The sequence below is a fragment of the Homo sapiens genome, chromosome 19 (genome assembly GCF_000001405.40).
Source record: "Homo sapiens chromosome 19, GRCh38.p14 Primary Assembly".
In the NCBI taxonomy this organism is placed as follows: Eukaryota; Metazoa; Chordata; class Mammalia; order Primates; family Hominidae; genus Homo; species Homo sapiens.
In genome coordinates this window covers 35192268-35216192 of record NC_000019.10, presented here as the reverse complement: position 1 = coordinate 35216192, position 23925 = coordinate 35192268, and the positions used below count along the sequence as shown (strand labels likewise).

General features: G+C 45.8%; 1 long non-coding RNA gene across 2 annotated transcripts, besides 7 other annotated features; it reads right to left on the bottom strand.

Annotated features, from left to right (window-relative positions):
• Positions 1-286: 286 nt before the first annotated feature.
• Positions 287-11072, bottom strand: LOC105372379 (uncharacterized). Of its 2 annotated transcripts, XR_935937.2 has the most exons (4): positions 10917-11072; positions 9801-10040; positions 5209-5320; positions 287-558 (listed from the first exon to the last, which is right to left on the bottom strand). It is a non-coding gene; the product is annotated as an uncharacterized LOC105372379 (long non-coding RNA). The 2 variants fall into 2 exon arrangements; XR_935938.2 differs by lacking the exon at positions 5209-5320.
• Positions 2167-2216: an enhancer, noted in NCBI's record as "active region_14460". NCBI's record gives its function as "activates an Ori minimal core promoter by ATAC-STARR-seq in GM12878 lymphoblastoid cells {active_cell/tissue: GM12878}" and the evidence as "EXISTENCE:reporter gene assay evidence [ECO:0000049][PMID:35858748]".
• Positions 2257-2456: an enhancer, noted in NCBI's record as "active region_14459". NCBI's record gives its function as "activates an Ori minimal core promoter by ATAC-STARR-seq in GM12878 lymphoblastoid cells {active_cell/tissue: GM12878}" and the evidence as "EXISTENCE:reporter gene assay evidence [ECO:0000049][PMID:35858748]".
• Positions 3705-4516: an enhancer, noted in NCBI's record as "H3K27ac-H3K4me1 hESC enhancer chr19:35702580-35703391 (GRCh37/hg19 assembly coordinates)". NCBI's record gives its function as "activates a minimal SCP1, AML or CMV promoter by ChIP-STARR-seq in primed H9 embryonic stem cells {active_cell/tissue: H9 hESC(primed)}" and the evidence as "EXISTENCE:reporter gene assay evidence [ECO:0000049][PMID:30033119]".
• Positions 10413-10582: an enhancer, noted in NCBI's record as "active region_14458". NCBI's record gives its function as "activates an Ori minimal core promoter by ATAC-STARR-seq in GM12878 lymphoblastoid cells {active_cell/tissue: GM12878}" and the evidence as "EXISTENCE:reporter gene assay evidence [ECO:0000049][PMID:35858748]".
• Positions 11558-12075: an enhancer, noted in NCBI's record as "H3K27ac-H3K4me1 hESC enhancer chr19:35695021-35695538 (GRCh37/hg19 assembly coordinates)". NCBI's record gives its function as "activates a minimal SCP1, AML or CMV promoter by ChIP-STARR-seq in naive and primed H9 embryonic stem cells {active_cell/tissue: H9 hESC(naive and primed)}" and the evidence as "EXISTENCE:reporter gene assay evidence [ECO:0000049][PMID:30033119]".
• Positions 12076-12593: an enhancer, noted in NCBI's record as "OCT4-NANOG-H3K27ac-H3K4me1 hESC enhancer chr19:35694503-35695020 (GRCh37/hg19 assembly coordinates)". NCBI's record gives its function as "activates a minimal SCP1, AML or CMV promoter by ChIP-STARR-seq in naive and primed H9 embryonic stem cells {active_cell/tissue: H9 hESC(naive and primed)}" and the evidence as "EXISTENCE:reporter gene assay evidence [ECO:0000049][PMID:30033119]".
• Positions 12594-13111: an enhancer, noted in NCBI's record as "OCT4-NANOG-H3K27ac hESC enhancer chr19:35693985-35694502 (GRCh37/hg19 assembly coordinates)". NCBI's record gives its function as "activates a minimal SCP1, AML or CMV promoter by ChIP-STARR-seq in naive and primed H9 embryonic stem cells {active_cell/tissue: H9 hESC(naive and primed)}" and the evidence as "EXISTENCE:reporter gene assay evidence [ECO:0000049][PMID:30033119]".

The window sequence follows — 23925 nt, the reverse complement described above, 5'->3', positions numbered from 1 at the left end:
CATGCCACCACGTCTGACTAATTTTTTTTTTTTTTTAGTAGAGATGGGGTTTCACCATGTTAGCCAGGCTGGTCTCGAACTCCTGACCTCAAGTGGTCCACCACCTCAGCCTCTCAAAGACCTGGGATTACAGGCGTGAGCCACCACACCCTGCTGTATCACTTCTGTTCCTCTCCTTAGCTTCCCTCAGCTTCTCATATAGCTTCCCTTTCTGTTATTTGAGCCCCCAAGAGCTTTCTGTATTAAAACACATTTGGCTGGAAGTAACAGACATCTGAGCAAAGCATTCTAAGCTAAGAAGGAATTTATTGGGTCTTGGAACTGAGAGCCAATACATTGAGAGTCCAGGGTTTGAGTTTTGCTTCAGGCACAGTTAGATCCAGGTGCTCACACAATGTCCTCGAAAGTCATCTTCCTCCATCTCTCTACTCCACTTTTTTTCTGCATTCCCTTAATCCTCAAGCAGATGCTTCCCACAAAGAGATGAGGTGTCCTTCAGCAGCTCCAGGATTCCATCACAGCAGCTTAGCAACCTTGATGCGGGGTGAGCACAACCACCTGTAACAAGAACATCAATGGTAGCAACAACATTGGAGTATTTACTGTGTGCCAGGCTCTCGTCTGAGTACTTGGCGGGTGTTTGCTTATTTTATCCCTATTACACCCTATAAGGTACAGATAATCATCACTCCCATTTTACAGATGAAGGAACTGAGGCACAGACATTACAGGAAAGGGGTCCGGATCCAGACCCCAAGAGAGGGTTCTTGGATCTCGCACAAGAAAGAATTCAGGGCAATTCCGTAGAGTAAAATGAAGGCAAGTTTATTAAAAAAGTAAACGAATAAAGAATGGCTACTCAATAGACAGAGCAGCCCTGAGGGCATCTGGCTGCCCATTTTTATGGTTATTTCTTGATGTTACGCTAAACAAGGGGTGGGTTATTCATGTCTCCCCTTTTTAGACCATATAGGGTAACTTCCTGATGTTGCCATGGTATTTGTAAACTGTCATGGTGCTGATGGGAGTGTCATATTGAGGACGAACAGAGGTCACTCTGGTTTTGGTGGGTTTTGGCCAGCTTCTTTACTGCAAACTGTTTTATCAGCAAGGTCATTATGACCTGTATCTTGTGCTGACCTCCAATCTCATCCTGTGAGTTAGAATGCCTAACCATCTGGGAATGCAGCCTCATTTTACCCAGCCCCATTCAAGATGGAGTTGTTCTGGTTCACATGCCTCTGACACAGAGAGATTATATCCAGGTTTAAGGTTACATTGGTTGCAAGTGGTGGAGCTGAGCGTTGAACCCAACTGGGCTGGGTCTAGAGTCCTTGCTCTTAACTATCACTAGCAGAAAAATAATAATAGCAAAACGTTTTTCAGAGCAGATAATCTGTGCCTGGCATTATTCTGAGTATCAGGAAATCATGATCATGATCAACATCCATTGAATCCTTCCAGCAGCCCCATGAGGTAGATTCTATGAGGCATTACCTTCATTTCACAGAGGGGGGAAATTGAGGTACTGAGAGCATAGACAAGCCTGAGGTCCTCTATGGAGCAGCTGGGACTTGAACCTAGGCAGCGGGGTTCCAGAGTCCACATCTGCCACCCCCAGGGCCTCATCCCTGAGTCAGGGGTGAGGTCAGCCTCAGAGAACTTCATGAAGTAAGATGGAGGGAGGGGCCCAGGACAGCCCAGCAAGCTCACGAGTCATGTGTCCACCTTTCCCTCCTCTCCCCTCTTCCCATAGCCGGGTCCAGTCTTCCCAGAATTCACCTGTGAATAGACTGACCAAATGCAAGCTGGACCAGTGGGGTGAGTCCAGGCAAAGCCAGCAAAGAGGCCAGTGGCCCAGCCTGAGCCACAAGGCGGGGCTTGCCAGGGCCCACAGTGGCTGGTGTAAACCTATGCCAAGGAGGGCATGGGGGTGGAAGGGAAGACCCCCTCATTCCCCAGGGCAGCTGGGGCTCACTTCGAGTCCTGCCTCACGCACCTGCACGTGACTATAACCTTGACACTCATCAGACCTCTGCAAAACAATCCTCGTCCACTGCCCTGACAGGAAGCCTGGGCAAGATGCCAAGTCATATTTAATGCGTTTATGAGAAACCAAGACATGGCTATTTATAGCCCTTTGATTCATCTGCCAAGTGAGAACCGGGTACATGCAATGACATCTTACGAGTGGAAAGTAGGCAATGCCGTCTGCCCCTTACCATAGACAACAGGCACACCTTGCTGCGTGGGCTCAACAGGTTCTCACGCCAACCTGTGGAAATGCCACGGACAATGGTCCCCATTCTGCAGTGCAGAAACTGAGGCTTGGGAAGGGACAGTCACTTGCTTCATGGACAAAGTGTGGCAGGGCTGGGGATGGAATCCAGGCGGACTCTTAACTCACCCTGCAAGCTGTCTCGGCTACACGGTCCACACCCCACTGTCAACTCCTTTAAAGACAAAATTCTTGGCCGGGCGCGGTAATCCCAGCACTTTGGGAGGCCAAAGTGAGTGGATCATGAGGTCAGGAGTTTGAGACCAGCCTGGCCAATATGTTGAAACCCCGTCTCTACTAAAAATACAAAAATTAGCTGGGCATGGTGGCGTGTACCTATAATCCCAGCTACTCAGGAGGCTGAGGCAGAAGAATCACTTGAACCCAGGAGGTGGGGTTGCAGTGAGCCGAGATCATGCCACTGCACTCCTGCCTGGGTGACAGAGCAAGACTCCGTCTCAAAACAAAACAAAACAAAACAACTGTTTTCTGAATAGTTCATGGGACTCTTTGGAAACATTCTGCTTGTTTCCTGCCTTCTTTTTTCAGCCCTATCTCTTCTTTCTGGCCCTCTTCCTTCTTCTTTGATATTAAAATACTTTTCTTTTTTTTTTCTTTTGAGATGGAGTCTTGCTGTGTTGCCCAGGCTGGAGTGCAGTGGTGCGACCTTGGCTCACTGCAACCTCCACCTCCTGGGTTCAAGTGATTCTCCTGTCTCAGCCTCCCCAGTAGCTGGGATTACAGGTGTGCATTACGATGCCCAGCTAGTTTTTGCATTTTTTTTTTTGAGACAGAGTCTTGCTCTGTTGCCCAGGCTGGAGTGCAGTGGTGTGATCTTGGCTCACTGCAAGCTCCTCTTCCCGGGTTCACGCTATTCTCCTGCCTCAGCCTCCCGAGGAGCTGGGACTACAGGTGCATGCCACCACGCCCGGCTAACTTTTTTCGTATTTTTTTTTCAGTAGAGGTGGAGTTTCATTGTGTTAGCCAGGATGGTCTCGATCTCCTGACCTCGTGATCCGCCTGCCTCGGCCTCCCAAAGTGCTGGGATTATAGGCGTGAGACACCGTGCCCGGCCTAGTTTTTGTATTTTTAGTAGAGATGGGGTTTTGCCATGTTGGCCAGGCTGGTCTTGAACTCCTGACCTCAAGTGATATGCCCACCTCAGTCTTCCCAAGTACTGAGATTACAGGTGTGAGCCCCCAGGCCCGGCCTAAAATGCTTTATTTCTTGTCTCTCCTTTCTTCATTCCTTTCCCCCTTCCTTTCCTCTTTTTCCTTTATTTCTTCATCTCTTTTATTCAAGGCAATAAACATGATATTAGCAATTGCTGATGTTAGAATGGGCTCACAAGTATCCCAAGTCTTCCTCGCCCAGCCTCTGTTGATTCTCAAGTACATACCACGATTCCCCCCATTTCACGGACATGGTGGGAATGCCAGGGCGGCTCCTCCCAGCTGAGTCCCCAGTGCATTTGGTTTGCTCCTGTCACTGACACCCGTGGTGTTGTGGCCACTGAGGCTGAAATCCAAAAGAGGGCACCAGAAATGCATCGAGAAAGTGCCCACCCTTGAGGAAATCTGATGTTCGATTTGTCCTTACTCTGCAGTGATCTTTTTTGGTGGGAGGTTCCTGGAGGTGTCCCCATTGCCTTTCATGGGGTCTCCTCTCTGTGCCTAAGTTTCCCCCTATGTAAAATGGGGTTAGCACTGGTACCTACCTCATTCTTATTGTTGGGAGGATTAAACTGTAAGGAGTGCTTAGAACAGTGCTTTGGCAGCATGTGCGTCACAAATGTTTCCTGTTGTTGGTGGCGCTGTTGTTATTAGACCCTGGCTTTGGAAGCTGGGTCAGACACCTAGCAAAACCCTCTGCCTGGGTGTGCCCACGGGGACTGTTCTGGGCCGCAAGCTTCCAAGCTGAAGCCTGCCCTGCAGGCAGGATGTCCGGCCTCCAACCGCAGCCTCCAAATCTTGATCAACAACTCTGATTTTATTGCCTCTCTGCCCAGATATCATCAGTGGGGGCATGGACGCTTACATGAATGCTTGGGGTCTCATAAGGGGCACTCTGCAGATTCCAAGATTCACAGCTTCTGGCCTCATGTCCTGACTGCCCCCCACTCCCAGCCCCTGGTATGCTGGTGTTGCCACAGTGTCCAGCCACCTATCTCTCCTCCACCACCTCTTCCTTCCTCCAGAGGCAAGCAGTAGTCACATTTCTGTTGTCATGTGTCTCTCACAATTTCCACATTTTTTTTTTTTTTTCAGAGACAGGGTCTTGTTCTGTTGCCCAGGCTGGAGTGCAGTTGTGCAATCATAGCTCACTGAAGCCTTGAACTCCTGGGCTCAAACAATCCTCCCACCTCAGCCTCCTGAGTAGCTAGGACTACAGGCATGCACCACCATGCCCTGCTAATTTTTAATTTTATTTATTTATTTATTTTTTCATTGAGACAGAGTTTCGCTCTTGTCGTCCAGGCTGGAGTGCACTGGCGCGATCTCGGCTCACTGCAATCTCTGTCTCCCATGGTTCAAGCGATTCTCCTGTCTCAGCTTCCTGAGTAACTGGGATTACAGGTACCTGCCACCATGCCTGGTTAATTTTTGTATTTTTAATAAAGACAGGATTTCACCACGTTGTCCAGGCTGGTCTCGAACTCCTGACCTCAGGTGATCCACCTGCCTCAGCCTCCCAAAGTGCTGGGATTACAGGCATGAGCCACCGTGCCCACCTAATTTTTAATTTTTTTTTTTTTGTAGAGACAGGGTCTCACTATGTGGCCCAGGCTGGTCTCAAACTCCTAACCTCAAGTGATCCTCCCACGTTGGCCTCCCACATGGTGGGATTACAGGCGTGGGCCACCACGCCCAGCTGCCTCTGCATGTCTTAAGGAGATGTTTATGCCACTGATTTGTGATTGTCAACGTTACCACAGAGCCCTTCTCTGTTGACTTCCTGCCCTGGAAGGGGAGGAGTGGATTCAGACCACTCCCCTTCTGATGTAATGATGCCACGCAACCTCCCTGGTCTCAGGGTCCACATCTGTGAATGAGAATAACAGTATCTATCTCAGAAGGTTGTAGTGAGGAGTGAACAAATTCATTCACACGAAGCACTGAGAACGGGCTTTGCCCACAGTACAGGCAGTGTGTGAACTCTCACTGTTGTTCATAACTATGATCATCATCACTTTTATTTTATTTTATTTTATTTTATTTTATTTTTTGACACGGAGTCTCACTCTGTCACCCGGGCTGGAGTGCAGTGATATGATCTCAGATCACTGCAACCTCTGCCTCCCGGGTTCAAGTGATTCTCCTGAGTAGCTGGGATTACAAGCATGCGCTGTCACGCCTGGCTAATTTTTGTATTTTTGGTAGAGATGGTGTTTCACCATGTTGGCCAGGCTGGTCTCAAACTCCTGACCTCAGGTGATCGATCCACCTGCCTCAGCTTCCCAAAGTGCTGGGATTACAGGCGTGAGCCACCGCACCTGGCCCCATCATCTAGATTCTACAATTGTTAACATTTTTCTGTATTTACTTTATTACATATCTATCAGTCCATTCCTCTATCAAGTCATCTGATTTTTTAAAAATGTATTTTTAAAGAAGGTTAAAGAATTTTAAAGCAGACATCAGTACTCTTTACCCTTAAACATTTCAGGATTCATATCACCAACTGGAGTTCAATGTTTGCAGTTATCTTTGAGATTTTATAAATTTGCATGCAATGAAATGCACACATATGAAACATCCATTTGCTGAATTTCTTAGTATTGTCATTATTATTTAGAGATGCGCTCCCACTCTGTACCCCAGACTGGAGTGCAGTGGTGTGATCATAGTTTACTGCAGCCTTGACCTCCTGGGCTCAAGCGATCCTTCTGCCTCAGCCTTGAAAGTAACTGGTACTACAGAAATATGCCACCACGCCTGGCTAATTTTTTTTTTTTTTCTCCACAGGGTGAGTTCTATGCCTGGGGAATTAAAACAATTTTTTTTTTAAAAGAGATAAGGTCTTTCTGTGTTGCACAGACTGGTCTTGACCTCCTGGCCTCAAGTGATCCCCATGCATCAGCCTCCTCAGTAGCTGAGATTACAGGCATGAGCCACTGTTCCCATCTCCATTTGCTGAGTTTTGACCAATGAATGCACTTATGTAATAAGTATACGCTTCTGCTTTAGACTACAAGCCCCTGTTAAGATAAAGAACATCTCCGTGACCCCTGCAAAATCCCCTTATGCCCCTTCCCAGATAATCCCCACCTCCACTCCATCCCCAAAGGCAATCATGGTTTTGATATTTTTATACCTTTACTTTAAATTTTCAGGATGGATGACAGGTGTGTGCTGGGAGGGACCTTAGTTAAATTTTGTGATTGGCGGCTAGAATTGAAAAAAAACAAAAACAAAAACAAAAAAACAAAAAAATACCTCATTGCGGCCAGGCGTGGTGGCTCATGCCTGTAATCCCAGCACTTTGGGAGGCCAAGGTGGGCGGATAGCTTGAGGTCAGGAGTTTGAGACCAGCCTGGCCAACATAGTGAAACCCCATCTCTACTAAAAATACAAAACTTAGCCCAATGTGGTAGTGGGCACCTGTAATCTTAACTACCTGGGAGGCTGAGGCAGGAGAATTGCTGGAACCAGGAGGTTGTAGTGAGCTGAGATGGCACCACTTTACTCCAGCCTGGGCAACAGAGCAAGACTCCATCTTAAAAAAAAAAAAGAAAACCTCGTTGCTCCCTCCTGTGGAATATGGATACCTAATTAACATGATCACATACAGCAATGACTGGCTTGGAGGGGAGGAGGCATCCTCAGTGCTGAAAGGTGGGACAATGTCCACTGAGGGCTCTGGTCCTAGCACTGAATGAGCCAGGCTCTTTCAATTCCTGGATAAGCACTTGTTCACCCATTGTATGTGGACCACTTACCCTGGCTGCCTCATGTAGGATGCTGTTGGCTGCAAGTAAGAGAAGAATAAATTCCAAACATCTTAAAACAATAAGGATGCCAGGCACAGTGGCTCGTGCCTGTAATCCCAGCACTTTGGGAGGCCGAGGCAGGCAGATCGCGAGGTCAGGAGATTGAGATCATCCTGGCTAACACGGTGAAACCCCGTCTCTACTAAAAATCCAAAAAAATAACTAGGCATGGTGGCGGTCGCCTGTAGTCCCAGCTACTCGGGAGGCTGAGGCAGGAGAATGGCGTGAACTCAGGAGATTGAGATCATCCTGGCTAACACGGTGAAACCCCGTCTCTACTAAAAATCCAAAAAAATAACTAGGCATGGTGGCGGTCGCCTGTAGTCCCAGCTACTCGGGAGGCTGAGGCAGGAGAATGGCGTGAACTCAGGAGGTGGATCTTGCAGTGAGCCGAGATCGCGCCACTGCACTCCCGCCTGGGGGACAGAGCCAGACTCCATCTCAAAAAAAAAAAGCAATAAGGACACGTATTATTTTACAGAACTGCTGGTCCCCCAAAGGCGGGGAGGTTCTCCAGGGGTCAATGCATCAGTTGAATGATGTTCTTATAGACTCAGGCTCCTCAGCATGTGGGCAATGTCATCCCTCACGGTGGTAACGTGGCTGCCACAGCCCCAGCCATCATTTCCTATAGGTGCAAAGCATCACAACCGTATACTTCCTCTTGCTAAAATCCTACTCTACCCATTTCCTTTCTGTATTTTCAGTGTTTAGCCTCTCTGATTCTGCTCTTACTACTAACTCATGAGATTTCAACTCATGGCGACTATAGGTGCTCCGAAGTGCTAATGAAAGAAATTGCAGAAAGAAAAGAAGAAAAATGATGTCTTTCTCTGTGGCTTCAGAATCATCCTCAGCATCATAAAACTCTGTTTGCAAATATTCTTTGCAGGCCGCAGGGACTTCAGAGATCATCAGTATGTCTTGTCAAAGAAACTTTAACATTCCAGCATCTGTGATTCTGGGACTAATACTTAAATTGCATGTAGATTCTGAAAAGGATAAATATTTGTGAATTTTTTGTTAAACCAGAGGAATATTTTTACTACCCCCTCTTCTTCAACGTGGATGAAAGAGAAAGCAAAAACACGTGATGCTGTTAGAACTCTGCTCTAGACTAAGAGTTTGAGAGCCCAGCTTAAGCCAGCAAATGCCTCCTCACACTGCCACATTCTCTCTGCGAGGAAAAGAAAAAGTTTATTTCTCTTACATTATTATTTTTTTCTTTTTTTGAGATAGGATCTCGCTGTGTCACACAGGCTGGAGTGCAGTGGTGTGATTATGACTCACTGCAGCCTTGATCTCCCAGGTTCAGGTGATTCTCCCTCCTCAGCTTCCTTAGTAGCCAGGAATACAGGCACACACCGCCACGCCTGGCAAATTTTGTGTATCTTTTTAAAATTTTTTTGGAGATGGGGTCTTGCTATGTTGCTCAGGCTGGTCTCGAACTCCTGGGCTCAAGCGATCCTCCTGCCTTGGCCTCCCAAAATGCTGGGATTACAGGTGTGAGCCACCACACCTGGCCTCCTACAGTACTTTTCTTTTTCTTTTGAGATGAAGTCTCACTCTGTCACCCAGGCTGGAGTGTAGTGGTGCAATGTCCACTCACTGCAACCTCCGCCTCCCAGGTTCAAGTGATTCTCCTGCCTCAGCTTCCTGAGTAGCTGGGACTACAGGTGCACACCACCATGCCCAGCTAATTTTTGTATTTTTAAAAATAGAAATGGGGTTTCATCATGTTGTCCAGGCTGGTCTCGAACTCCTGACCTCAAGTGATCTGCCCATCTTGGCCTCCCAAAGTGCTGGGATTACAGGCCTGAGTCAACATGCCTGGCCTCCTACAGTACTTTTTAAGAGCAAAAACATTTTACCCCAGATGCCTTCCACTAGCCAGCCCCCAGCAGACTCCCCCTCCAAGTCAGTCACTGCTGTGACTTCTCCTTGGCCAGGAGTGTGTCCCAGCCTTTTCCAGAACCAATCACCAACAAGAAGACAGGAGAACTATGCCTGGCTTAGATCACTCAGAGGCTGAGGGTACTTTTTCTGAACACATGGTCAGAGCTAATAAACAGGCTAATAAAATTAAGGCTCTGCTTACAAAGAAGTAAAGGAAAATGGGCTTGCTTATTAATAATGCAGATTCCCAATTCCTGCTGCTAGTTGCACGGCTGCTTCTGTAGACACTCTGCCTCCGTCTGGCCTGGCACTTTGATCTTGTTTTTATGCCTCAGGATGAACGAACCTCAAACACCCAGGCTTCTTAGAATAGAAGGTCCTAGAGGAGGAGTGGTTTCTGAGAGAAGGAAGCACCTGCCCGCATCTCTTAAAAGGAAAGTACCTAAGCTTGACTGCCTGCTTATCTTTGAGGTTTTATTATCAATCAGGCCTTCTGGCACAAGTGATTAAAACCCAAACTAGCTTAAGTACAAAGAGAATGTATTGGTTCTTAGAATGGAAAGTCTCGGATTTCAGGTATGGCTGGATCCAGGTGCCCCTGCAATACACTCAGGATTATGCCTCTCTCCCTCTCACCTCTGCTGTCCTCAATATTGACTTCATTTTCATGCAGCAAAGATGACCTCCAGCAGTTCCAGGCTTAGAGCATAGCAGATAAGTAACCATAGCAGAAAAAGAAACACCACTTTCCCAATAGTTCCAGCAAAAGTCCTGCAGCTGTCTCTCATTGGCTTTACTTGGAATGGCGTGTTCATTTCTGGATCTGGGAAATGTAGTTGGCTGTGTCCGAATCACATAGACTAAGAGCAGGGGAGGCTGGTTCCCAAAGAAAATGAGAAGGGTAAACGAATGCCCGTCAGGCTAATCTCTCTCTTGTGTGTAGAGAGAGCCCCGGAGAGCATCAACCTGTCCTGTTTTACCATGAAGAGCATTCAAAAGCTAACAGGGTGATAGGGGTTTAGTAAGTTGGGAGTGGTCAGGGAGAGGTCTTGGAAGAGACAGTGTTGAAAGCAAAGCCTTGAGAGATAAGAAGTCAGTGTTTTAGGCGGCAGGACCTGTGAGGGCAAAACACCTGAGAAAAATCAATATTTGACAAATGAGTGGCTAAATGAATGAATGAATGAGTGAATGATTAAATGAATGAGTGGGTGAATGACTATAGACAGACACTGTAGACAAAGAGCCCCATCTTCTTGCTCAGAAGGACCCACCAGCCCCTGTAGTAATGGGAGAGCTGGAGTTGGGCTGCAGACCTTGCAGGGAAAATGGAGAGGGAGAGAAGGAGGAGGGGAGAGGAGGGAAGGAGGGAAAGAGCCACTCGGACTCCGCAGGAGCCAGGAGGAAGGGCCAGATGGACCCTACCTGGGAGACTACATCCAACGTTTCTCTCCTTGAGGGTCCTGGGCTGCCTGGAAACCCTCCCCTCTCCACAGCCTCCATTCCCTGCCCCTTCCCTCCCCCGCCTTACTCTCACTTCCTCTTTTCTGTTCCTCTTGCATACCAAGCTAGCTCTCGTCTCAGGCCTTTGTGCTTGCTGTTCCCTCTGCCTGGAACACCCTTCTCTAAGAACTTCACAGCCCTCAGGTCTCAGCCAAGAGTCCCCTCCACCAAGCAGCCCTCCCTGACCACCCCAACTGAATTACCCATCCCTCTACGCCCACAGCCTCTTCCAAATCACACCACCCTGCATACCTTCCTCTCTCTGAAAATGTCATGTTTGTGAATCTGTTGTGGTCACAGTTGTCACCCTGTCAGAGGCGTTTGAACCAGAGCAACCCCATCTTGAGTAGGGGCCAGGTAAAATGAGGCTGAGACTTACTGGGCTGCATCCCCAGATGGTTAAGGCATTCTGAGTCACAGGGTGAGATAGGAGGTCAACACAAGATGCAGGTCATAAAGACCTTGCTGATAAAACAGGATGCAATAAAGAAGCCAGATAATACCCATCAAAACCAAGATGGCCACGAGAGTGACCTCTGGTCGTCCTCACTGCTACACTCCCACCAGCGCCATGACAGTTTACAAATACCATGGCGATGTCGGGAAGTTACCCTCTATGGTCTAAAAAGGGGAGAAATGAATAATCCACCCCTTGTGTAGCATATCATCAAGAAATAACCATAAAAATGGGCAACCAGCAGTCCTCGGGGCTGCTCTGTCTATGGAGTAGCCATTCTTTATTCCTTTATTTTCCTAATAAACTTGCTTTCACTTTATGGACCTGCCCTGAATTCTCTCTTGTGGGAATCCAAGAACCCTCTCTTGGGGTCTGGATCGGGACTCCTTTCCTGTAACACTATTATTACTGACTTATGAATATTCTAGGGTTGTTGCGAAGTCTGGGTGCGAGTCAGGCACAGTGTTTACCTGCTTGGCCCTGCAGTGTCCAGCCAGGTTCGTGGCCTCCTGCCTCTGTGACCCTGTTCAAGTGACCTCCCTGCTCTGGGACTGTCTGTTCCCCCATAATATGGAGACCTCTATATTGCTCTTCTATACCTCATGTCTGTCTTTTACACACACACACACACACACACGTGTGTGTGCATGGCTGTGGTGCAGGTTTAATGACCTCATGCAGATGTCTAGAGCATGGTTCTAGGCAGAAAATGGAAAAGTATTTATAATATAATTAGTTCAACCAGCTACAATATAGACAGGGGTTTCCTGGCAGGCCATGTGACTTCAGTAATGGCCTGGGTCTGGCTTCGCCTTTAACCCTCTTCCTAGCCTCCCCTCAGCTCTCAAGGGTCAGCTAGGGGCCATCGCCCTGCATGTAGGGAGGCTGGACGGCAGAAAGCATGAACCCCATGATGCTCCCTGTCCTGCCCTGCCCATGCTGTCACCAAGTGGGGCAGCTAGACTGAAAGGGCTTCCACAACTCTGGGGTGGGCACCAACAGCCAGGGGAGCTGGAGATTGAAGGGTAACATTGCAGACTGGAATAGGAAGTTCCCTGGCCTCCAAGCCAGGCCTCACTAGGACTCTCCTGCCCTCAAATCTGGAAGCTCAGTGTCTTCACCCTTTAGGTCTCTGGGGGATAGGAGACAGAGACTTAGGAGGGTCCAGGGGAAAAGAATTTCCAAGTAATAACATGGAAAATAAAACAAAGCTACTAAACCAAAGGATATTGCTATCAACCACAGTAGCTTTCACACTTTTGTTGTTAACTGTAAGAGAGTCATTTGACATCACAACCTAGAATATATACTTTGAACCAAAAATAAAATCCTGAGCCCCCCAACTAACTAAGTGGACCCCCTTCTGGGCCAAAGGGACCCCAGAGACATCTGAACAACTGAATTCTAGCCATGAAGAAATGGGAGGTGCACATGCCTCATTCTAGCCCCTCCCTTCTGGAGTTTAGGCCCAACTGACCAACATTAACATTAAAATACAGATCACAGGACTGACAGAGTAGACTCTTTATGGCAATCAGATCCCAAATTCCAAGCTGACCCTGGTCACATGTTCTCTGAGCGCTGCCACTTAGGAGACTTCATCTGCATAACAAGGGCCTTGTCTTCTACAACCCCTTATGTTAGCTCAAGCATTCTTTTCTAAGGACTTCTTCAGTCTTTAGGCAAAGCTTAACTCTTCCAACCAAATGGCAATCAGAAAGTCTTTGAATCCGCCTGTAAGCCCTGTTCCCCACCCTCTGACTCAAGATATCCCACCTCTTTAGGCTGAACCAATGTACACCTTCCGTGTATTGATTTATGTCTTTGCCTGTAACTCCTGTCTCCCTAAAATGTATAAAACCAAACTGTAACCTGACCCCCTCAGGCACATGTTCTCAGGATCTCTTGAGACTGTACCCCAGGCCATGGCCACTCTTATAGGCTCAGAATAAACCTCTTTAAATATTTCACAAAGTTTGGCTTTTCTGTCAACAATACACACTCACAATAAGAGTTTACCAAAGTAACACTTACTTAAGGCTGGAGACAAACTCTGATACTCTGAAATTTCTTTTTTCTTCTACTTAATTCCATTTCAGAAAAAAATTGCTGGTTAGGACCTTCTAAATTGATCTCATGAACCACTAACGAGTCACTACTCACAGCATGCAAAGCTCTAATTACACACTAGAAAGTATGTTTTAACACCAGGGGAAAATGGGAAAGTTTTACTCATAGAATATTCCTTTGCATTACACTGAATGTATTTTACTTGATAGAAAATGCTGTACTTTTGCTTAAAGCTAATTTCTACAGCAGACAGATGGAGAGTATACCATGGATAGGCACAGGCAGAGGAGGCTCTGCTTTCTGGGCCTAACTTCATTCATTCATTCCACAAATCTGTACCAGGTGTTGGAGGGTCAGCAGCAGTGGCGTGCTGTATTAATCTGTTCTCACACTGCTAATAAAGACATACCTGAAGGCTGGGTGCAGTGGCTCACGCCTGTAATCCTCGGGGAGGCCGAGGCGGGAAGATCATGAGATCAGGAGACCGAGACCATCCTGGCTAACATTGTGAAACCCTGTCTCTACTAAAAATACAAAAAATTAGACGGGCATGGTGGCGGATGCCTGTAGTCCCAGCTACTCGGGAGGCTGAGGAAGGAGAATGGCATGAACCTGGGAGGCGGAGCTTGCAGTGAGCTGAGATTGCGCCACTGCATTCCAGCCTGGGCAACAGAGCGAGACTCTCTCTCAAAAAAAAAAAAAAAAAAAAAAAGACGTACCGGAGACTGGGTAATTTATAAAGAAAAGAGGTTTAATTGACTCACAGTTCAGCATGGCTAGGGAGACCTCAGGAAACTTACAATCATGGTGGAAGGGAAAGCAAACATGTTCTTCTTCACCTGGTGCAAGAGAGAGAAGTGCTGAGCCAAAGGGGGAAAAGCCCCTTATAAAACCATCAAATCTCATGAGAACACACTCGCTATCATGAGAACAGCATGAGGGTAACCTCCTCCATGATTCAGTTACCTCCCACTGCGTTCCTCCCCCTGACACATGGGGATTATGGGAACTACAATTCAAGATGAGATTTAGGTGGGGACACAGCCAAACCATATTATGTGCTGAAGCCAGTTTATCCCAACTCACAAGAGCCCTTTGTTAAGTTTTTCAGGAGTTATGGTTGAACTCACATTGGTAGCTTGAAATCAGTCGTGGTGGAAGATTTATACTACGGAATCAGCAACTCTATAAGTCAGCATCCCCCAGCCCCTACAAGGGTTGTCAAACCTTTATGAGCACACTGCTAGTCAGCAGTGACCAAGACCTGGTCCCTGCCCTGGCACAGGCTGTCCTAAAAGGACGGGGGCACACTTTACTCAACCACAAAAACACATATAAACACGTGCCTTATGTGTGCTATGTTCTATACACCTGCTATGAAGGAGAAGTATAGGAATTCATGAGAGAAGATAACAGAAGGAATTCGAACAAGGCTTCTCCAAGGACACGAAGTTTGAGCAGAGACTTAAAGGATGAGGGGATTTAACTAGACAAAGAATGCGGGGAACAGTATTTCAATGAGAAGGAATAGTGTGTACAAAAGACCAGTGCTGAGAGAGGATGGTGAGTCTGCACAGCATAGCTGGAGTGGAGAGGATGTAGCAGCAGAGTGAGAGATGGAGATACCAGGCTGCAGATGTGAGCATCCCGGCCACGCGGGATCTGAGGCAGCACGAGGCCTCTGGTTTTTATGCAAAGAGCAATTCTCACAAAGCTACTCCCGCATTGCCATGCCCTCTTTTACACCTCGTCCTATCGGATTCTGCAAACTAGATTTATGGTGCAGATTGCACTCACTGTCCTCTTCACAGATGCAGAGGAGAGGAGACATCTCCATCTCCTCCTGACATGACTTTTGCTAACCTGCATTTTAGAAGTCAGCCTCTGAAAGGTCAGACGTGAACATGATAAGAAAAAAAAAAATCCACAGCACTGAAAAGCTCATCATTTCACTGGCAGTAAAATAAGAAGCATTTACTTTATAGTTTTTCTTCAGCCTAAAGTGAGCTTTGAGGTGATGTCAGGAGGTAATTAAGGTGGGAGCTAATCAGCCCACACCAAGAAGATACTTTGAGGGCAGCCAGGAAAGCCTCCAAGTAACAATCGAAGAAACCAGGGGTTGGCGGTGAAAGGGCACAGCTGCTTCTAGCATCTGCTAGTCTTACAGTGAGAGAAACAGAGCTCCACTTACCTGTGACCACAGAGGGCAGGAGGACTGTTAGGTGGCAATTATGAGGGGGCACTTCTAGCCCAAAATAAAGAAGGTCTTTCCTGACTAGCCAGAGGCAGGACCCCTCCCATTCAGCATTGCAAGAGGTTGTGCTTAGATAACCTGGACGGGTCCAAATTGGGGGATTCAATGTCTCCCTCTCCCATTCCCATGCCCGGGAAGTCATCTCAGCCACTATTGTCAGGAAGCGGTGGACACTCCCTTCCTAACAATGCTTCTTGCTTGTTGTATAACCTTGAGGTGGCTGCCTAAGCTCTCTGATCTAAACTAAACTGATCATCTAAAACTGGGGGCAGCTGGGCACGGAGGCTCACACCTGTAATCCCAGCACTTTGGGAGGCCGAGGCGGGCAGATCACTTGAGGTCAGGAGTTTGAGACTAGCCTGGCCAACATGGTGAAATCCCGTCTCTACTAAAAATACAAAATTAGCCGGGCATGGTGGCGGGTGCCTATAATCCCAGCTACTCAGGAGGCTGAGGAAGGAGAATCACTTGAACCCGGGAGGCAGAGGTTGCAAAGAGCCAAGATCGCACCACTGCAGTCCAGCCTGGGCGACAAGAGTGAGACTCTGTCTCAAAAAATAAATAAATAAAACGGGGGGCAATTTTAGTAGCCACCTCATAGGGTTGTTTTGAGGATTATAAGGTACAATGTGTATAGTGTTTGAAGAGCATCTGGTGCATAGTAAGTCCTCGACAAAGTTAGCTACCATCGGTAATAGTATTTCCAGCCTCCCTGCTCTTCCCCCAAATCAAACACACCTGAGATATGAGATGGGCGTTAACAAATTCTTTTACTGAAAGGTCAGTTTATTAGTTTTTACTCTGTTGCTAGTGCCAGAACCCCGATTTCAAATTGACTTAATTAGAAAGACAACAATAACAATGACAAAGATGGAACTTAATGGTACACATAACTAAAAAGTCCAGCTATATTTAGCTTCAGACATAGTTGTATCCAGGTGCTCAAAGGATGACATGAGGAGTGTCTCCCTGTCCCTTCTGCCAGTTCAATGTGCCTCTGTGTTGACCTCATTCTCAAACTGACTCCTCCCTTCTGGGGGAAACAGTGGCCACCAGCAGCTCCAGGTTCACATTCTACCATCTGAGCAACCCAGACAGAGGATCAGCAAACGTCCTAGAATTGGGTCTCAGTTCAGTGTGACCATGAATCTGTCCCAGAACCAAGAACAGTCACCAGGGTTACATAGATTCCCATTTCCCAGGCCTGGGACATATGTCCATTTCTAGAGCTTGGAGAGGGGATCGCATCTTACTTAAATCATAGGGGCTGAACATGGGTAGAAGTGCGCCCTAAAGGAAAACAGGAGTGCTGTGACCCAAAGAGGAGAAAATGGTAGCTAAGCAGGGTGCAGCAACATATGTCGCCTATAGTCATGCAGATCTCTTCTTGGAGGGCTCAAGGATGTGACTTTACCCACCTTTCTTGCCCCCCCTAGGCTTGGAAAAGGAGGTGTCTGAAGTGCAAGCTACTCTCTCCTGCTCCCTTTTTCTCTTCTCAGCCTCCCTCCAACAGCCTTCTCTTTGCAGCCCTCCTGTCTGGGGTTCTTCTACTTTCCTGTGAAATTCCATCCTTGCATTTCTTTTTTTAATTGAGACTTCAGTCAGATAATAACAGAAGCTCTCCTCCAGCCAGCTCTCCTATTCTTAAGGGGTCATACACATATTCCAGGCTCTGGTTGTGAAGTGGCTAGAATTTGGTGCCTGGATCAGTCAGGATTGAATCACAGGTGGGGGGCTGAAGCACCACTAAGATATACCTATAGACTGATTAGCTGCTACAAAAGGACTTGTTACTGGATTTGATCTTATGCAATTTAGGGAGCTGGCTAAATGGTCTCTGTCAGGTTGTTATCTTTGAGTCAGATGCTGGAACTGAACCCCATAGGTGCAGGAAGTCAGGAAGGGAAGATGGAGGAAAGGTTGGGGAGAGCAAAGAACAAGATGGAACCAACATGCATAAGCCGGAGTCCACAAGGACAAACCAAACCCCATGTGAGTTCTTTTGTAAATTTTATTTATTTTATTTTTTATATTTTTGAGACAGGATTACAGTCTGTCACCTACACTGGAGTGCAGTGGCATGATCATAGCTCACCGTAGCCTTGACCTCCCGAGCTCAAGCAATCCTCCTGCCTCAGCCTCCCAAACAGCTGGGATGCCAGGTGTGCACAACCACACCTGGCTAATTTTTCAAAATTTTTTGTAGAAATGGGGTCTTGCTGTGTTTCCCAGGCTGGTCTCAAATTCCTGGCTTCAAGTGATCCTCCCACCTTGGACTCCCAAAGTGCTGGGATTACAGGCATGAGCCACTGCGCCCAGCCCCATTTCAGTTCTTGTTGCCTCCAACCTTGGTGGTGTGGGTATCCTGGTGGAGCCAGGGTCCTTTATCATGGGGCAAAACACATATATCTGGCCCCATTTTAATATTAATGCTGGTCAGTTGTGCCTAACTTCTCAAAATGGAGGGGCTGAAATGAGGCACGTCTGACCTCCCTTCCTGTCATGGCCGGGAATTCAGTGTTTCAGGTTTCTCTGTGATCCCCCTCAGCCAAGAGGGGGTGTGTTCAGTTGTTTGGGGGGTTTAGGATTTTAGTTTTGGTTTACACTACTACAGTTTTTTATTTCTGGACACATAATCATGGCTGGCATTTATAATTATGTTTACAGTTACCTTTCCCATTACCTATTCCATATTCGCTTTGCCCTCAGCAACTACCTCATCTGGTTGGATCTTTGCCTGGTAGGGTGACCTAAACCCTCACTTCGGAAGGACCTGAGCCATTAGCAGCCCTGTCTCAATTGAGTTGCAGTAGTTTTCCATTGACTTCAATCACAAGACATGATAGTACTAAGAGACACCCTAGACCATATTCTGTATTCCAGACATACTCTTTATACTCAATTTCCCTTTGATACTCAGAATTAATTGCCTTGGCCAGTACAGTGACCTCCCCTGTGGCCTGTTGATTCAGTGGCATGAGGAGCCCAAAGTAGCCAGGGGGCAGTCTCAACTTCCAGTTCACTGGAATCATTGTTGTGTCTGCTGGTGGAAGCATCACTCCCTTTGGAAATAGGACCTCTAGACCAGAAGAACCTAGAGTTGTGGGAGGTAGCAAAAATTTTGATAGTGGATCACTAGGGGAAATAATGAGAAAATCCAATCCTATTTTCATCCCTTTGTGTTGGGAACCCATGAATCCTGCCTGGGGAAAGACAGCACCATATATTAGTCATTGATTTAGGGCACATACCACATCCTAGAGGACATTGCTCCAGCCCCACAGGTGTTGCCATATAGATTATGCTATGATCTGAATGTCTGTGTCCTCCCTGCCAAATTCATATGTTGAATTTTTTTTTTTCAGAGCCTCGCTCTGTCACCCAGAGTGTGGTGGCATGATCTCAGCTCACTGCAACCTCCACCTCCTGAGTTCAAGCGATCCTCCCACCTCAGCCTCCTGAGTAGCTGGGACTACAGGTGCGCACCACCACACCCAGCTAATTTTTGTATTTTAGTAGAGACAGGGTTTCACCACGTTGGCCAGGCTGGTCTCGAACTCCTTACCTCAAGTGATCTGCCTGCCTCGGCCTCCCAAAGTACTGGCATTACAGGTGTGAGTCACTGCACCCGGCCTCATATGTTGAAATTCTAATCCCTGAGGTGATAGTATTAGGAGGTGGAGCCTTTGGGAGGATGATTAGGTCATGAGGGAAGATCCCTCATGAATGAGATTAGTGCTGTTGTGAAGAAGACTCAAGAGAGATACTTTGCTCCTTCTACCATGTGAAGACACAGTGAGAAGGGACTGTTTATGAACCGGAGAGTAAGCCCTCACCAGACACCGAATCTTCTGGTACCTTAATCTTGGACTTACCAGCCTCCAGAACTGTGAGCAATAAATTTCCAGTGTTTAAGCCACCCAGTTTATGGTATTTTTGCTAGAGCAGCCTGAATAGACTAAGACAGATGACACTGAAACCAAATCTTCAAAAGTCCATTTCAAGTTCCAGTTCTGGGAAAGAAGTAGTAAACCCAGGCAAGAAGGAGTAAACACGTGCTACACTTTCTTTTCCACTGAACACAACTAGAAAATCCAGACAGAATACATGGCCCAGCTATTTGACAATTTTGGAAAGTCAGTTACAACAGTTGCATTGGGAAAGGAACACAAAAATTCAAAGTGCCACCAAATCAATGATGAGTTTACTATATTATTTTCCTCCTGTATCCCCTGACCTGAACTCAATACAGTCCAAAACTTGGAAATGAGCACTGTGGTGCAGACAGGGAGAAACCTAGGAGAGGCCTGGCTGAAGGAGCAGGAAAGGGTACTCCTAAAGTTCAGAGAGAGTGGGGAGAATTTATTTTCTCCCCCTTTTCTGTTTTCTTTCGAGCAATCCCATTGCAGTAGCAGAGCAGCTGGCAGAAGCCAAAAATTCAGGAAAGGACTTTTCTCTCCATTCAGTGGAAAGGATCAGACTCCATTGCTTTTTTTTCTCCCTCTCTGTTCTCCAACCTCTTGATCCTAGACCTGGCACAATCATGAAATTGGGCAGTTTCTGTCTGGAGGATCAGAAAGGGGAGCCCAGGGAACCAGAAAGTATCGGAAGATAACAGAGAGGGAAGGGCTTGAGAAAGTCACCCCATAAAGTTATTTATGAACTCATGGACTCATCTGGCCCTAATTAGCATGCCGCAGACTGGAAACTGAGCTAATGATTAGACTTCTGCCCAGGGCCCAGACTGACCACTGGATGACACATTTGGAAGATAGATCAGAATAGCATTGCAAATGCTTCAAAAACTGAACTGACATTGGAACTACAGGGCATAGAAGGCAAGTAGGAACTTAGCAGTCTGAATTTACCCAGGTTAACTGGCCACTAAAACAAAACCATCAATATTCTCAATAGGATTTAAACAAGACTCAGAGTGTCATAATATAATGTTCAAAATGTGCAGGATGCAGTCCAAAATTACTTGGCATACAAAGGATACCAAAATTCTTAACTCTCATGGGAAAAGACAATCAATTCATGCTATTGCAATGATGTAAACTTTGCAATTATATAAAAAAACTCTTAAAACAAATATTAAAGATATCAGCAAGGAAATAAAACACATGAAGAAGAAACAAATGGAAATTGTGCAACTGAAAAACACTATAACCAAAATAAAATATTCATCGAATGGGCTCAATAACAAAATGGAGATGGGAGAAGAGAGTCAGTCAACATAAAGATACAACAATAAAAATAACCAAATCTGTATAGTAGAAAGAAAAAAGACTTAAAAAAAAAAATTGAACAGTGCCTTAGGAACCTGTGGGACAACCACAAAGGTCTAACATTTGTATCCCAGAGGCCAGAGGAAAGTGCGGTGCTGAAAAATATTTTGAAGAAATAATGACAGAAAACATCTCAAGTTTAGCAAAAGCCATTGTGACATAATAAGAAGTAATTTTTTTTTTTTTTTTTTTGAGAGAGTCTAGCTCTGTCGCCCAGGCTGGAGTGCAGTGGTGCCACTGAAACCTCTGCCTCCTGGGTTCCAGCGATTCTACTGTCTTAGCCTCCCGAGTAGCTGGGATTACAGGCATGCGCCACCATGCCTGGCTAATTTTTGTATTTTTAGTAGAGACGGGGTTTCACCATGTTGGCCAGGCTGGTCTCCAACTCCTGACCTCAAATGATCCATCCGCCTCGGCCTCCCAAACTGCTGGGATTACAGGCATGAGCCACCGCACCCGGCCAAGAAATAAATTTTGGTCTATGCCTTCCCCCACTTCCTGACACACTGCTCCTAAAACAACTGAAATATTTTTGTATGCTAATGAGATGACTGATGGTTGGGGGATCCAGGACAGCTTCAGAATGAGGTCTCCTTGCCCAGAGAACCAAACACGTGATGAGTGGGCTAGAACTTCTAGCCACACCCCACCTCCATCTCTGGGGAGCGGGACGGGGAGTGAAGGTAGAGTTCATCACCAAAGGCCAACGATGCAATCAATCATGCCTATGTAATGAAGCTTTCCACCAAAACCCTAACAGATAGGGTTCTGAGAGCTTCTGGGTTGCTGAACAAGTGGAAATGCTAGGAGGCAGGTACAGCTGGACAGGACATGAAGCTCTGCACCCCTTCCCTCATATCTTGCCCTATGCATCTTCCATCCGGCTGTTCCTGATTTGGATTCTTTGTAACAAGTGGGTAAATACTGATACTGAGCAAGGTTCATTTTGCCTGCACTCAATAAGCCAATCACTGTGGCGAAAGGTTTTGCAAAAAATAAAGGGTTTGTTCATGAGACAGCCAAGTGAGGAGGTGGGTGAATGGGTCTCAAATCTGCCTCCCCAAAGATGGGATTTAGGGATATTTATGAGATAAAGAAGCAGAGTGGTCTGAGGTGTGGAGAAAGGGAATTGGGATAAGAAAAAGTGAGGTAATTGGCAATCTGCACACACATAGTCAAGCCTCATGGCTCTTCATAGGAAGCATGTTTAGAAAATGGTGGCGTTAGTATGATCTGTAGGAAGATCTTTATGGCCCTCTGGTGTCAGAAGCTCACCTCTTGGACATTCACGCAGGCCCAGGTGAAGTGGTCTCAAGCGGCTTGAACTGGACAAGAGCTGACCCCAAATTCATGAAAAATAACTTTAAGCAACTGTTACCATGGTGACCTATACATCAGAGATATTATCTATAAGGAAGATAGTAGATTGCTTAGTTACATGACTTTTAGCTATATAGTTATTAAGATTAACTAGAAGTAAGGAATTAAAAGTAAGTAAGGCAGTTTAAGTTCAGTGGGCTTAATCAAGTTAATTCTCAGTTTCAGCATACAGAGTGGGTTCTGTGAGCCATTCTAGCAAATGACTGAACCCAAGTAAAGGATCTTGTGAACCTGTAATTTGTAGCCAAGTCAGACAGAAGTTGTGGATAACCTGGGAATCTATCACTTATGATTGACATCTGAAGTGGGATGCAGTCTTACGGGACTGAGCCCTTAACTTTTGGGATCTGACACTGTCTCTAGGTAAATAGTGTTAGAACTGAATTGAATTGTAGGACTCCCAACTGCCATAGGAGAATTGCTTGTTTGGGGGGGGAAGGAACCCCACACATCTGGCATCAGAAGTGTTGAGTGCTGAGGGTGAGTATAGAAGAGGAAAAACAGTTTGTTTTCCCTATATACAGACTTAAACCTGCAGATTCAAGGAGCTAAGTGAACCCCAAATAGGATAAACCCACAGAAATCCATGCACAGACAAATCATAATTAAACTGCTAAAAATTAAATATGAAGAAAATATCTTGAAAGAAGAAAAAAAAAAAAAAAAAGAAAAGAAAAAAAACCCAACAAGCCAATACATGTGAATAATTCAAATGATGGCATATTTCTCAGCAGAAACCATGGAAGCCAGAAGGAAATGGCCTAATATTCTTAAAGTGCTGAAAGAAAATAAGTGTCAATCTGGAATTCTATCTCCAGTGAAAATAACTTTCAGGAATAAAGGCGAAATAAAGACATTCTTAGATTAAGTAAAACTAAGAAAATTCATACCCAGCGGAAATGCTGTAAAAAACATTGCTAAAGGAATTGCTTCAGACAGAAGGGAAATGATACCGGAAGGAAACTTGGAACATCAGGAATAAAGGAGGAACAACAGAAGTAATAACTACCTGGGTAAATATAATAGGCTATTCTCCTCTTGAGTTCCTTAAAATCTGTTTTACAGTTGGAAAAAAAAAAAACTATAACATTGGCCATGGAATTTTCATGAATGTGTATGTAATACATGACAAGTATAACATAAGGGGGAGAATTAAGAGACCTACTAGTGCTAAAGTTTTGAGTGATAAAATATTGTTTCTAAATACAGTGTAAAAAGTTCAGTGTGCATTTTGTAATCCCTAGAGTTACCACTAAAACTTATACAAATAGTTATAGTAAAAATCATAATTGATAACTTAAAATGGAAGACTAAACTATGTTCAAATAAGCAAAAAAAATGTCAGGAAAGGAAAAAGAGAGGAACAAAAACAAAATAGGCTGGGCACAGTGGTTCATACCTGTAATCCTAGCACTTTGGGGGGCTGAGGCAGGCAGATCATGAGGTCAGGAGTTCGAGACCAGCCTGGCTAACATGGTGAAACCTCATCTCTACTAAAAATACAAAAATTAGCAGGGTGTGGTGGTGGGTGTCTGTAATCCCAGCTACTCAGGAGGCTGAGGCAGGAGAATTGCTTAAACCCAGGAGGCGGAGGTTGCAGTGAGCTGAGATCATGCCACTGCACTCCAGCCTGGAAAACAGAGCAAGACTCCATCTCAGAAAAAAAATAAAATAAAAAATAAATGAAACAAATAGAAAACACATGATAAAATGGTATACCCAACCCAAACATATCAATTATTACATTAAATGTAAATGGTCTAAATATATGAATTAAAAGAGATTATGAGAATAGATTAAAAAATTCACTTA